The sequence below is a fragment of the Homo sapiens genome, chromosome 19 (assembly GCF_000001405.40).
Source record: "Homo sapiens chromosome 19, GRCh38.p14 Primary Assembly".
Taxonomy (NCBI): domain Eukaryota; kingdom Metazoa; phylum Chordata; class Mammalia; order Primates; family Hominidae; genus Homo; species Homo sapiens.
Genome location: NC_000019.10, coordinates 38,342,018 through 38,354,594, shown reverse-complemented (window position 1 = coordinate 38,354,594; position 12,577 = coordinate 38,342,018). Strand labels below are relative to the sequence as shown.

The following is a 12,577-nucleotide window of genomic DNA, read 5'->3' as shown; positions in this document are numbered from 1 at the left end:
CCCGTTCAGTGTGGTGTCAGGGAGCACCTGGCAGAGGGCACCCGCTGCCTTTGAGAAAATCCTCCTTGCTCACACTCTGTCCATGAGGGTCAGATTGGGCTGACACCTCCCTTGCACTCCCTAGGCCACAATGATTAGCATGTGACCAAGCCGGCCAAATCAGAGGCAATATCAGCTTGCAATCCGCAACAAGATGCTCTTTTCTGGGGCTACTGAGGGGCATAAAAGTCTACAGTTGCTGCGTAGAGGCCTGAATCACCGTGGCATGCACAAGGAGGTGACTGTCTAACCGTGACAGTGACCCCATGGTGCAGCCTTTCCTGAAACCAACATGCTCCTGGGCTTTTCAGCCACGGAAGCCAATAAACACCACTTTTCTTTGGATTAAGCCAATTTGAATTTGGTTCCTCCCACTGTCAAAATGCCCAAAGTAAGAAAGAGACTAAGCAAAGCTGCTGGGAACACGCATTCACTTATGAAATGTAAGTTACAGTCCAATTTCCAGTGACTCTGTAAGCTGACAGTTCTCACTGAGATGGCGGGAGAAACTGGAAGAAATAAGAGAGCTTTGGTATCTTTTTTTTTTTTTTTTTTTTTTTTTTTTGAGACAGAGTCTTACTCTGTCGCCCAGGCTGGAGTGCAGTGGCACGATCTTGGCTCACTGCAGCCCCGCCTCCTGGGTTCAAGCAATTCTTCTGCCTCAGCCTCCTGAGAAGCTGGGAGTACAGGCACATGCCACCACACCCAGCTAATTTTTGTATTTTTAGTAGAGACGGGGTTTCACCATATTGGCCAGGCTGGTCTCAAACTCCTGACCTCGTGATCCGCCCTCCCAAAGCGCTGGGATTACAGGCGTGAGCCACCGCGCCTGGCCTTTTTCTTTTTTTTTTTTTTTTTTGAGATGGCATCTCGCTCTGTCGCCCAGGCTGGAGTGCAGTGGCACGATCTCAGCTCACTGCAAGCTCCGCCTCCCGGGTTCAAGCGATTCTCCTGCCTCAGCCTCCCGAGTAGCTGGGACTACAGGCATGTGCCACCACGCCCAGCTAATTTTGCTAATTTTCTGTATTTTTAGTAGAGACGGGGTTTCACCATGTTAGCCAGGCTGGTCTCGAACTCCTGACCATGTGATCTACCTGCCTCAGCCTCCCAAAGTGCTGGGATTACAGGTGTGAGCTACTGCACCCAGCCACGGTATCATTTAAAGATTAAGTTGAATAGTCTCTCTTTTTCATCTCTCTCGCTTTTTCCTCTCTCTTTTTTTTAAACTGAGTCTCGCTCTGTTGGCCAGGCTGGAGTGCAGTGACGTGAACTCAGCTCACTGCAAGCTCTGCTTCCTGGGTTCAAGCAATTCTCCTTTCTCAGCCTCCTGAGTAGCTGGAATAACAGGTGCCCACCACAATGCCCGGCTAATTTTTGTATTTTTAGCAGAGATGGGGTTTCACCAGGTTGGTCAGGCTGGCCTTGAACTCCTGACCTCAAGTGATCCACCCGCCTCGGCCTCCCAAAGTGCTAGGATTACAGGCATGAGCCACCATGCCCAGCTTTTTTTTTTTTTTTTTTTTTTTTTGAAACAGGGTCTTGCTCTGTCGCCCAGGCTGGAGTGCAGTGGTGTGATCATAGCTCACTGCAGCCTCAAACCCCTGGGCTCATGCGATGCCCCCTCCCGTCAGCCTCTTGAATAGTCTGGCCTCCTGAGCCACTGTGCCTAGACTCTCTTTTTTCCTCTCCAATGAGTTTCCCTTGAGGCTTTGCCCATCTGTTTCTCTCTCTCCTCCCGCTCTGTCTTTCTGATTTGCCATGCCCCTCTCCCTCTGACTTTCTCTCCCCGTCTGGTCTGTCTTGGCAAGTCCTTCTGCCACTGTGTGTGGGCACACGCGTGGGTCTGCCTCTCTCTACCTCCCTTTACTCTCGCACCCCCTCTTCTCACAGCTGCTCACAATTCCCAGGAGGGTCTGGGTGGAAGCCTCATCCCAGCAAAAAAAAAAAAAAAAAAAAAAAAGGGCAAGGCAAGGCCCATTCGGGGTGGGCAAGGGTGATTTGGGGCCTTGGCAAGTTCCTTCCCCAATGCCTCACCCACAGCAATTCCAGCCCCCAGCCACCTTCAGTGGAGGGGTTCACCAGGGTGCCCTCCCCAGGCGTGGGTCCAGCCACAGCACACTCACCACTGCCGCGGTTTCTCTCATAGAGTGTGGTATAGGTGCCTGTAAAATAGTAGACCAGCTGGTTCTGCCGAATGAAGAGGGTGCTCTCGGTGGCAATAGTGTCATAGATGGTGGCTGTGAAGCCAGAATGGGGGCAGTAGAAGGAGCCCACCCAGCAACTGTCAATGCTCAGCTGCAGGGGAGCAGAGGCTAGTGGTGAGCAGGTGGCCTTGGCCTCAGCCCCCATGTCCTGCCTTGCGGGGAAGCTCCTGCTCTGACAGCTGCTTGGGAGGGACACATGTAGCTGCCCCAGGGCGCTCTCCCTGCTCACCCCGCAGCAGCACCTTGGTAGCCAAACCTCCCCCATATGGACCAGAGAAGCAGGTGACCCAGGCCTGAGCCAGTTCAGGCTTCGTGTGCCCCCTGGAGTTGGGCAGTGCACAGCATGCTCAACGGTCCTTAGCGGTCCTTGTGCCCTTGGCTACAGTCAGTGTTATACCTACATGGATACAACACCCCATGCTCGCCCCAAGGGACATTTTTTTTAAAGGCTGGATCTGGCTCTGTCACCCAGGCTGGAGTGGTATGATCATAGCTCACTGCAGCTTCAAACTCCTGGGCTCGAACGATCCTCCCACCTCAGTCTCCCGAGTAGCTGGCAAGAGAGGTGCTCACCACCATGCCTAGCTAATTTTTTAATTTTTATTTTTGTAGAGGTGAGGTCTCGCTATGTTACCCAGGCTGGTCTTGAACTCCTGTGCTCAAGCAATCCTCCCGCCTCAGCCTCCCGAGTAGCTGGAACTACAGGTGCTTGCCACCATTCCCAGCTAATTTTTTTTTTTTTTTGAGGCGGAGTCTTGCTCTGTCACCCAGGCTGGAGTGCAGTGGCGTGATCTTGGCTCACTGCAAGCTCCGCCTCCCGGGTTCACGCCATTCTCCTGCCTCAGCTTCCCGAGTAGCTGGGACTACAGGCACCTACCACCAAGCCTGGCTAATTTTTTGTATTTTTAGTAGAGACAGGGTTTCACCATGTTAGCCAGGATGGTCTCGATCTCCTGACCTCGTGATCCGCCCACCTCGGCCTCCCAAAGTGCTGGGATTACAGGCGTAAGCCACCGCACCCGGCCTCCCAGCTAATTAAAATAAATAAATAACTGTGTAGACGGGAGTCTTGCTACATTGCCCTGGTCTTGAACTCCTGGCTTCAAGCAGTCCTCCCGCCTCAGCCTCATTGGAAAGTTCTGACTCATTTAATTCACTAGGCATCATGTTGGGCATGGTGATTGTGTTGGCTTTGTTGGGGTGGTAGGGACCTGAGCTGTACCAAGTGGAAGGAATCTTGTGACTTTGGGGATGTGGTGATTCTTGGGAAAGATCTTTCCCACTGAATGTGGGCTTGAGAAGATGCAGCCTCTGTAGTCTTCAGTTCCAGAAAACAGGACCATTTTTTGTTTGTTTGTTTTTTGAGATAGGATCTCACTCTGTCACCCAGGTTGGAGTGCAGTGGCACAATCCTGGCTGACTGCAACCTCTGCCTCCCGGGTTCCAGCGATTATCTTGCCTCAGCCTCCCGAGTAGCTCGGATTACAGGTGCCCACCACCATGCCTGGCTAATTTTTGTATTTTTAGTAGAGACGGGGTTTCACCATGTTGGCCAGGCTGGTCTCGAACTCGTAGGCTCAAGTGATCTGCTCACCTTGGCTTCCCAAAATGTTGGGATTACAGGCCTGAGCCACCACACCCAGCCAACAGGACTGTTTTGAGCATCAAGTCAATACAGAGGAATGTGGCCGAGTGCCTGTAATCCTAGCACTTTGGAGGCTTAGACAGGTGGATTGCTTGAGGCCAGGAGTTCAAAACCAGCCTGGCTAACATGGTGAAATCCCATCTCTACTAAAAATACAAAATATTGGCTGGACGTGGTGACACGTGCCTGTAATCCCAACTACTTGGGAGGCTGAGGCAAGAGAATCGCTTGAACCCAGGAGGCAAAAGTTGTAATGAGCCAAGATTGCACCACTGCACTCCAGCCTGGGTGACAAGAGCGAAACTCCGTCTCAAAAAGCAAGCAAACAAACAAAAAACAGAGGAATGTGGTCCAAGAGATGAGGCGAGAAACCCCGTCTCAGTGATACTGTTTGAAATCTGGTCTCGTGAACCAATAAATTTTCTTCTCCACTTTTAGGAGATGGCTAGTAAAGCTCTCAAATCCATTTCCCCATATTTTTTGGTGATTGAGTTTAGCTGGGCATGTACCACCCAGTGTCCCTTGCAGTTGGATGTAGCCAGGTGACCCCTTCTCACTAGTGGAATGTCAGTGGAAGTGAAGTTTGCTTAAAAGAAAATGGCTTGCCCTCTACTTCTGCTCCTCCCCTTTCCCAGTGGCTGCCATCATACAGAGGCCAACACCTTGAGCCCAGGGGATGGTGAAGAGAGAAAATGGAAGGAACAAGGTTCCTCATCTCCAGACTGTTACGAGAATGAGCAACGGCCGGGTGCGGTGGCTCACACCTGTAATCCCAACACTTTGGGAGGCCAAGGCGGGCAGATCATTTGAGGTCAGGAGTTCGGGACCAGCCTGGCCAACATGGCAAAACCCCATCTCTACTAAAAATACAAAAATCAGCCAGGTGTGGTGGTGGGTGGCTGTAATCCCAGCTCCTCGGGAGGCTGAGGCAGAAGAATCACTTGAACCTGGGAGGCAGAGGTTGCAGTAAGCCAAGATTATGCCACTGCACTCCAGCCTGGGCAACAGAGCGAGACTCTGTCTCAAAAAACAAACAAACAAACAAACAAACAAACAAAAAAAAACAATGAGCAACAGTCTCTGTTTAAGTAATTCCCTTCCAGGGTCTCTTTGTTACAGCATCTATACCTGGACCCCAACCATGAGCCAGGGGAGGATTCGTTTCCTGGGGGCAGTGTGGAAGGGAGTGGTGGAGAGAGACAGGAGCAGGGAAGAGAGGAGACAAACAGATGAGGCCATCAGGGAGAAATCTCCTTGGTTAGAGAACAAGAACAAGGCTGGGCACGGTGGCTCATGCCTGTAATCACAGCACTTTGGGAGGCCAACGCAGGAGGATGGCTTGAGGTCAGGAGTTCAAGACCAAGCTGGGCAACATGGCAAAACCCCATCTTTACCAAAAATACAAAAATTAGCCAGGCATGGTGATATGCGCCTGTAGTCCCAGCTACTAGGGAGGCTCAGGTAGGAGGATGGCTTGAACCCAGGAGATGGAGGCTGCAGTGAGCCAAGATTGCATCACTGAACTCCAGCCTGGGTAAGAAAGTGAGACCATGACAAAAAGAAAAAAAAGAAAAAGAACTAAAACAGGATCATAGGATCTTCTTGTAGTTTCTACGTGTGGCGATTGGGTTTTCACCGTCATCTGAGATGTGTCTCCCTCAAGCCTTGTTATGGTGTCGGCCCATTACCTGTCTGACATGAAATAAAAACAAACCCAGGGTTTATTTTGGAGTGATGGAAATTTTTTGGAAGTAGATAGTGGTGGTGGTTGCATAATATTGTGAATGAACTAGATGCCACTGATGTTCACTTTAAAATGGTTAAATTTATGGATTTCACTTCAACAAGTTAAAAAAAATAAGGAACAAGAATTTGGATGCCTGAATTCACATTGAACTTGTTTTCATTCCTGTGAATATAAACACCTTCTCTATGACCAGGTGCGATGGCTCACACCTGTAATACCAGCACTTTGGGAGGCTGAGGCGGGTGGATCACTTGAGGTCAGGAGTTCGAGACCAGCCTGGCCAACATAGTGAAACCCCATCTGTACTAAAAATACAAAATTAGCTGGGTGTGGTGGTGCATGCCTGTAATCCTAGCTACTTGGGAGGCTGAGGCAGGAGAATCACTTGAACCCGGGGGGTGGAGGTTGCAGTGAGCTGAGATCACACCATTGCACTCCAGCCTGGGCAACAAGAGTGAAATTCCATCTCAAAAAAAAAAAAACAAAAAAAAAAAACGAAGTTTGTGGAAATTGGCCAGGCACGGTGATCCCAGCACTTTAGGAGGCCTAGATGGGAGGATTGCTTAAGGGCAGGAGTTTAAGACCAGTCTGGGCAACATAGTGAGACCGTGTCTCTACAAACAATTTTTTAAAATTAGCCAGGTAAGGTGGCGCATGCCTGTAATACCAGCTATTTGGTAGGCTGAGGCAGGAGGATCGTTTAAGTCCAGGAGTTGGAGGCTGCAGTGAGCTATGATCACACCAGTGCACTCCAGCCTCGGCAACAGAGCAAAAGCCTGTCTCTTAAAAAAAAAAGTTGGTGTAAATTAAACAATGTCTGAATAGACTTGGCTCAGAACAGAGAAAGCTGACACAGGACAGGAAGATGGTCCACAAACTGAACAAATTCCACATAAGCAGGAATTCAGAGCCAGAAGGGGTCAGGAGAATACTAATCCACGTGGGATCCTCAGAAATTGTGAGTAGGGCTTTTGACCTTGATGGGAGGAGGTTAAGGCAATCTTTTTTTTTTTTTTTTTGAGACAGAGTCTTGCTCTATCGCCCAGGCTGGAGTACAGTGGTACGATCTTGGCTCACTGCAACTTCCGCCTCCCAGGTTCAAGCGATTCTCCAGCCTCAGCCTCCAGAGTAGCTGGGATTACAGGTGCCTGCCACCATGCCTGGCTAATTTTTGTACTTCTAGTAGAGACAGGGTTTCACCATGTTGCCTAGGCTGGTCTGCAACTCCTGACCTCAGGTGATCCACCCGCCTCGGTCTCCCAAAGTGCTGGGATTATAGGCGTGAGCCACTGCACCGGCTGTGGGTGCACTTCTTAAAGCCAGTTCTCTGGGTAAACCAACCTGCCTTGGCGTTCTCCTGTAGCTGCACTAATTCCAACATAGTTCTGTCGCTGAAGCCAAAAGATCCTTACTTCAGACACTCCCTCCCTATTCTGGGATAATATAGGCTCTCAATGCCTAATAGGAAACCCTTGGGCAGAGATGTATATTGCAATGCAGAATTTTCCAGAGTGTAGAATGTAATGGCACATATATACCATTGGTTATGGAAGCTATTAACTTTTTTTTTTTGTTTTTCTTTGAGACGGAGTCTGGCTCTGTCGCCCAGGCTGGAGTGCAGTGGCACAATCTTGGCTCGCTGCAAGCTCCGCCTCCCGGCTTCATGCCATTCTCCTGCCTCAGCCTCCTGAGTAGCTGGGATTACAGGCGCCCACTACCACGCCCAGTTTTTTTTGTTTGTTTGTTTTTGAGACAGGGTCTCGATCTGTCTCCCAGGCTGAAGTGCAGTGGTGTGATCATAGCTCACTGCAGCCTCAAAGTCCCAGGCTCAAGCAATCCTCCTGCTTCAGCCTTCTGAGCAGCTGAGACTACAGACTCATGCCACCACCCCTGGCTAAGTTTTGTATTTTTGGTAGAGATGGGGTCTCACTATGTTGTCCAGGCTGGTCTCAAACTCCTGCTCTCAAGCGATTCTCCTACCTCAGCCTCCCAAAGTGCTGGGATTATAGGCATGAGCCTCTGCACCCGGCCAGAAACTATTAACTTATATCATCCTCACAACAATCCTATGAAGTAAATATAAATATTACTCCCATGTTACAAATGGGAATCTGAAGACCGGGTCGTTGAACTGCCAGGTCCAGGGTCAGGCAGCCAGGAGGTGGCAGAACCAGGGTTTGAACCTAGGCCCTCTGGCTGTAGAATCTTGTGTTTTTTCTTCATGCTATCTGCCTCTCATGGGGACAGATATGTCTTTGGGGACTTCTAGAGCCCCAGGCCCCTACCTTATTTCAGGGGCTGAGGCCCAGCTCCCTCCAAGACGCCCCGCCCACCATCTGCCCCACACCGTTCACCTCCACGAGAGAGAAGTCCTTGAAGCTGGTGTCAGTCATCAGGACGTACTTCTCATTGGGAATGCCTCCCAGGATAAGCACAGGTGACTGGTCCACAGTGTGCCACAAGGGCCTCGATGAGACACCCACAAAGTACTGGGGCATCAGGTTGAAGAGCTGCCAAGGAGGGACAGGAGGGACGCCAACACTCTCCCCACTCTCCTGAGACTCCATCTCATTTAGGTCCAAGGCCTGACCTGGACCCACAAGGCCCCACGCGATTTGTCCTTCTCACTTCCTTGACCTCATTCCTTACCATTCTCCCCCTCGGTCCCTCTCTCCCAGCCACAAGGCCTCTTCTCTGCTTCTCAGACCTCCCAGGAACATGCCCACCTCAGGGCCTCTGTTTCTCCTGATGAAATGCTGTTTCTCCTGATGAACTGCTCTTCCCTTAGTATCCATGCAATTCTCTCCTTGGAAGCTTAACCTCCTCAATGAGGCCTTTCTTGACCATCCCATTAAATATTGCACTCTTCTTCTGCACAGACCCAACTCCCGTTGCCCTGTTCCATTTCTCTCCAGAGCGCTTACCGCCCTTTACCCTACTACAGAATTCACTTGATTTTCACATTACCAGTTTGCCGGTTTGCCATCTGTCTCCCCCACTAGAGTGTCAGCTCCAGGAGGGCAGAGATTTGGGTCTGTGTGTTCACTGCTGTGTCCCCATGATGCAACAACGTGTGCTCAGTAAGTGCCTGCTGAGTGACTGCATCAATGAATGGGTGAATGCATCGGGATTAAGAATATGGGTATGAGGCCAGGCGTGGTGGCTCATGCCTGTAATCCCAGCACTTTGGGAGGCTGAGGCAGGTGGATCACCTGGTTGGGAGTTCAAGACCAGCCTGCCAACATGGAGAAACCCCATCTCTAATAAAAATACAAAAAAAAAAAAAAATTAGCTGGGTGTGGTGGCACGTGCCTATAATCCCAGCTACTCAGGAGGCTGAGGTAGGAGAATTGCTTGTACCCGGGAGGCAGAGGTTGCGGTGAGCCGAGATCGCACCACTGCACTCCAGCCTGGGCAACAAGAGCGAAACTCTGTCTCAAAAAAAAAAAAAATTGAATATGGGCATGGGCCGGGCACAGTGGCTCACGCCTGTAATCCTAGCACTTTGGGAGACCGAGGTAGGCGGATCACTTGAGCCCCGGAGTTTGAGACCACCCTGGCAACATGGTAAAACCCTGCCTCTACTAAAAATACAAAAACTGAGGTGAGAGTATCACCTGAGCCTGACGAGGTCGTTCCCCTGCACTCCAGCCTGGGTGGCAGAGTGAGGCCTTGCCTCTACAAAAAATAAAAAAATTATTAGCAGGGCGTGGTGATGGGTGCCTGTAATCCCAGCTACTTGGGAGGCTGAGGCAGGAGAATTGCTTGAACCTGGGAGGTGGAGGTTACAATGAGGCAAGATCGTACCACTGCACTCTAGCCTGGGCGACACAGCAAGACTCTGTCTCAAAAATAATAATAATAATAATGATAATTAATTTAAAAATTAGCTGGATATGGTGGTACATGCCCGTGGTCCCAGCTACTTGGGAGGCTGAGGTGGGAGTATTGCTTGAGCCCAGGAAGTCAAGTCTGCAGTGAGCCATGATTGCACCACTGCACTCCAGCCTGGATGACAGAGCGAGGCCCCGTCTCAAAAAAAAAAAAAAAAAAAAAAATATATATATATATATATATGTGTGTGTGTGTGTGTGTGTGTGTGTCTGTTCATGTACAGGTATATACATATATATGTATGTACAGGTATGTACTATATATGTATGTACAGGTATGTACTATATATGTATGTACAGGTATGTACTATATATGTATGTACAGGTATGTACTATATATGTATGTACAGGTATGTACTATATATGTATGTACAGGTATGTACTATATATGTATGTACAGGTATGGATGTACAGGTGTGTATAGGAGTCAGACAGATAACTTCAAGACTCCCTCCATGCTGAGGGACTATGGGAAAATGGTTCCATCCCTTTGGGACCTCAGTTTTCTCCTCTTTATAATGGAGTATGTGAGAGTACGTCCCCTCGACAGGTCACTGGGGAGATTAATGGGATCTTCATGTGGGGCCTGGCATGAAGTTGGTGCTCCCTAAATGGGATCTGCTGCTTGTCTGGGAAGTAACCAGGGCGTCAGCCTAAGGCCCAGACCATTGTCTTTTTCCCCTGCCATATTCCCTCACCTCCTCTCCCACAGTGAATTGGATGTTATTGTCCCGGTCTCTCTTCAGGAAGCCGTTGATATTCATCTGGAACCTAGCAGCAGGTGCAGAATAGGCGCAGGTGAGGTCCCAGTGTCAGGGGTTCCACAGCTCGTAGCTGCCTCTCCTCTCCCCATTCTCTCCCTTGGATCTCCCACTGGCTCCTCTGGGGACCCTGGGGTGAGGAATTCCCCCGGAGTCCACCCCAGCCCCCGTCTTGGGAAAGGGTACCTTTTATCTGGAATGAAGGTCCCCAGGCCATTGCTGCTGATGTCCACACGCATGACCACACTGCCTTTCTTGATGGGCATGGGCGTGTACCAGCTCATGCTACACACTTCTTCTGCCATGCATGGCTCTGCAGGGAGGCCCTGGGCACTGAAACTGCTGGGGCCTCCCAATGGCCGGTTCCAGGCCCCAGACCACCCTGGGATCTCCCCACAACTCCCCATACCTGCCTCCACGCCATGGGTCCCACTGGGGCCTCTGTGTGGCCCCTCTAGGCCATGGAATGTGCTGAGCTCCCGCCCCCCACATACCCTCCTCAGATCATGGCCCCACAGAGGCCCCCAGCAAACCCCACACCCCTGCCAGGTTGCGATCCCTCCCGCCTCCCCCAGGCCCACCTTTGCTGCGGAAGGGGGCAGCCTCCATCTGGATCTGCAGCTGCTCTATCTTCCAGCGGTAGAAGTTGACTGGGGACTGGAAGGTGACCAGCACCAGGGGCTTTAGCCCCGTCAGGTGGCCCATGCGCACCAGGTCCTCAGAGGGCTGAGGGTGAGATGGCCCCACAAGTGTGTCCTTATGGTAGCCTCTGGGTGCCCCCTGCCTTAAGCCCGCCTCTAACAGTCTGTCTCCTGGGCTGTCCGGGGGCAGCACACTGTCCACCATGTGATGGTCAGAGGACATGGTCTAGGTTTGGGGCTTGGATGGGGGATGGAACAGCCTAGGAGGGGGCAGAGGGGTAAGGGGCTGTGGAGGGAGTCGGAGGCCTTCCTGGAGGAGATGACTCCAGAGCCAGTGTCTGCAGACAGAATGTGCATGTAGGGAATACATAGGGAAGGGCAGCATGGGATGAACAAAACTGTGCAGGTGGGAGGGATGCTGGGAAGGTGGGAGGGATGTGGCACCCAGGGTGCTGCTTTCCACTCCAGGGATTCCCAGTTCCAGGCTTAAAAAAAAAAAATTAGATTGCCCAGGCTGGTCTTGAACTCCTGGTCTCAAGTGAGCCTCCCACCTTGGCCTCCCAAAGTGCTGGCATTAAAGGCGTGAGCCATCTCATCTGGCCCCCAGTCTCACTCTTGAGGTGGGCTTCCACCCTCTCTGCAGCAGACTTTCTGCCACCTATGCAAGTCAGAGGACAGCCAAGTTCTGGGCCTTGAGCTTGGGGTGAGTGTAGGATGGGGCGATTACACAGGAAGGGACTGAGGACGAGGGTGACAGGGCATGCCTGGACAACCTCCCAGGGATGCGGGATCCTGGCTGAATAGAAAAGGGTGGGGAGCGCTTAGAGTGGAGATGGGAGAAGAGGAGAAGGATGTTTCAGGCATGCAGAACAGCACCAGTGAAGGCTAAGAGGCGTCCCCGAGAGAAGGCGGCACTCAGGCCACCAAGGGGAGGCCTTGGTTGCTGTGGGACCAGGGCGAGGGATTTACCAGATTCAGCACCTGTGCACAGCCCTTCATCGAGAGGGCTGACTTTCTTTACTTTCTTTGCCAGGCTCCTTTCTTTTCCTTTTTTTTTTTTTTTTCAAGAAGGAGTCTCACTCTGTCGCCCAGGCTACAGTGCAGTGGCATGATCTCGACTCACTGCAGCCTCTGTCTCCTGGGTTCAAGTGATTCTCCTGCCTCAGCCTCCTGAGTAGCTGGGACTACACACGTGCACCACCATGCCCAGCTAATTTTTGTATTTTTAGTAAAGATGAGGTTTCACCACGTTGGCCAGCCTGGTCTCAAACTCCTGACCTCAACTGATCTGCGCGCTTCGGCCTCCCAAAGTGCTGGGATTACAGGCATGAGCCACCAGGCCATTCTTTCTTTGAAAACTGTTTAATTTTTGTAGAGACAGAGTCTACTCTGTTGCCCAGGCTGGCTATTTCTGTAATTTATTTATTTATTTATTTATTTATTTATTTTTTACATGGGACAGGGTCTTGCTATGTTGGCCAGGTTGGTCTTGAACTCTTGGCCTCAAGCAATCCTCCAGCCTTAGCCTCCTAAAATGCTAGGATTACAGGTGTAAGCCACTGCACCTGGCTTTTTTTTTTTTTTTTTAAGATAAGGTCTTGCTCTGTTGCCCAGTCCGGAGTGCAGTGGTGCCATCACAGCTCACTG

The 12,577-nt window shown here is 50.9% G+C and overlaps 1 protein-coding gene and 1 non-coding gene across 3 annotated transcripts in view, besides 3 other annotated features; one reads left to right on the top strand and one right to left on the bottom strand.

Annotated features, from left to right (window-relative positions):
• The window catches only part of CATSPERG (catsper channel auxiliary subunit gamma), a 35,114-nt gene that overhangs the window by 16,349 nt on the left and 6,188 nt on the right, over positions 1 to 12,577 (bottom strand). For both annotated transcript variants that reach the window (NM_021185.5, NM_001330496.2), the window contains exons 4-8: positions 10,871 to 11,015; positions 10,476 to 10,602; positions 10,227 to 10,299; positions 7,990 to 8,145; positions 2,163 to 2,334 (exon numbers count right to left, since the gene is read on the bottom strand). In NM_021185.5, coding sequence (NP_067008.3) covers positions 2,163 to 2,334; positions 7,990 to 8,145; positions 10,227 to 10,299; positions 10,476 to 10,602; positions 10,871 to 11,015 — 673 coding nt within the window. The remainder of the gene's footprint in view (positions 1 to 2,162; positions 2,335 to 7,989; positions 8,146 to 10,226; positions 10,300 to 10,475; positions 10,603 to 10,870; positions 11,016 to 12,577) is intronic.
• Positions 1,921 to 2,420: an enhancer, noted in NCBI's record as "H3K4me1 hESC enhancer chr19:38842815-38843314 (GRCh37/hg19 assembly coordinates)". NCBI's record gives its function as "activates a minimal SCP1, AML or CMV promoter by ChIP-STARR-seq in naive H9 embryonic stem cells {active_cell/tissue: H9 hESC(naive)}" and the evidence as "EXISTENCE:reporter gene assay evidence [ECO:0000049][PMID:30033119]".
• Positions 2,421 to 2,922: an enhancer, noted in NCBI's record as "H3K4me1 hESC enhancer chr19:38842313-38842814 (GRCh37/hg19 assembly coordinates)". NCBI's record gives its function as "activates a minimal SCP1, AML or CMV promoter by ChIP-STARR-seq in naive H9 embryonic stem cells {active_cell/tissue: H9 hESC(naive)}" and the evidence as "EXISTENCE:reporter gene assay evidence [ECO:0000049][PMID:30033119]".
• LOC124904798 (small nucleolar RNA U13) lies at positions 5,485 to 5,586 on the top strand. Its single transcript, XR_007067381.1, has one exon. It is a non-coding gene; the product is annotated as a small nucleolar RNA U13 (small nucleolar RNA).
• Positions 10,301 to 11,250: an enhancer, noted in NCBI's record as "H3K27ac-H3K4me1 hESC enhancer chr19:38833985-38834934 (GRCh37/hg19 assembly coordinates)". NCBI's record gives its function as "activates a minimal SCP1, AML or CMV promoter by ChIP-STARR-seq in naive H9 embryonic stem cells {active_cell/tissue: H9 hESC(naive)}" and the evidence as "EXISTENCE:reporter gene assay evidence [ECO:0000049][PMID:30033119]".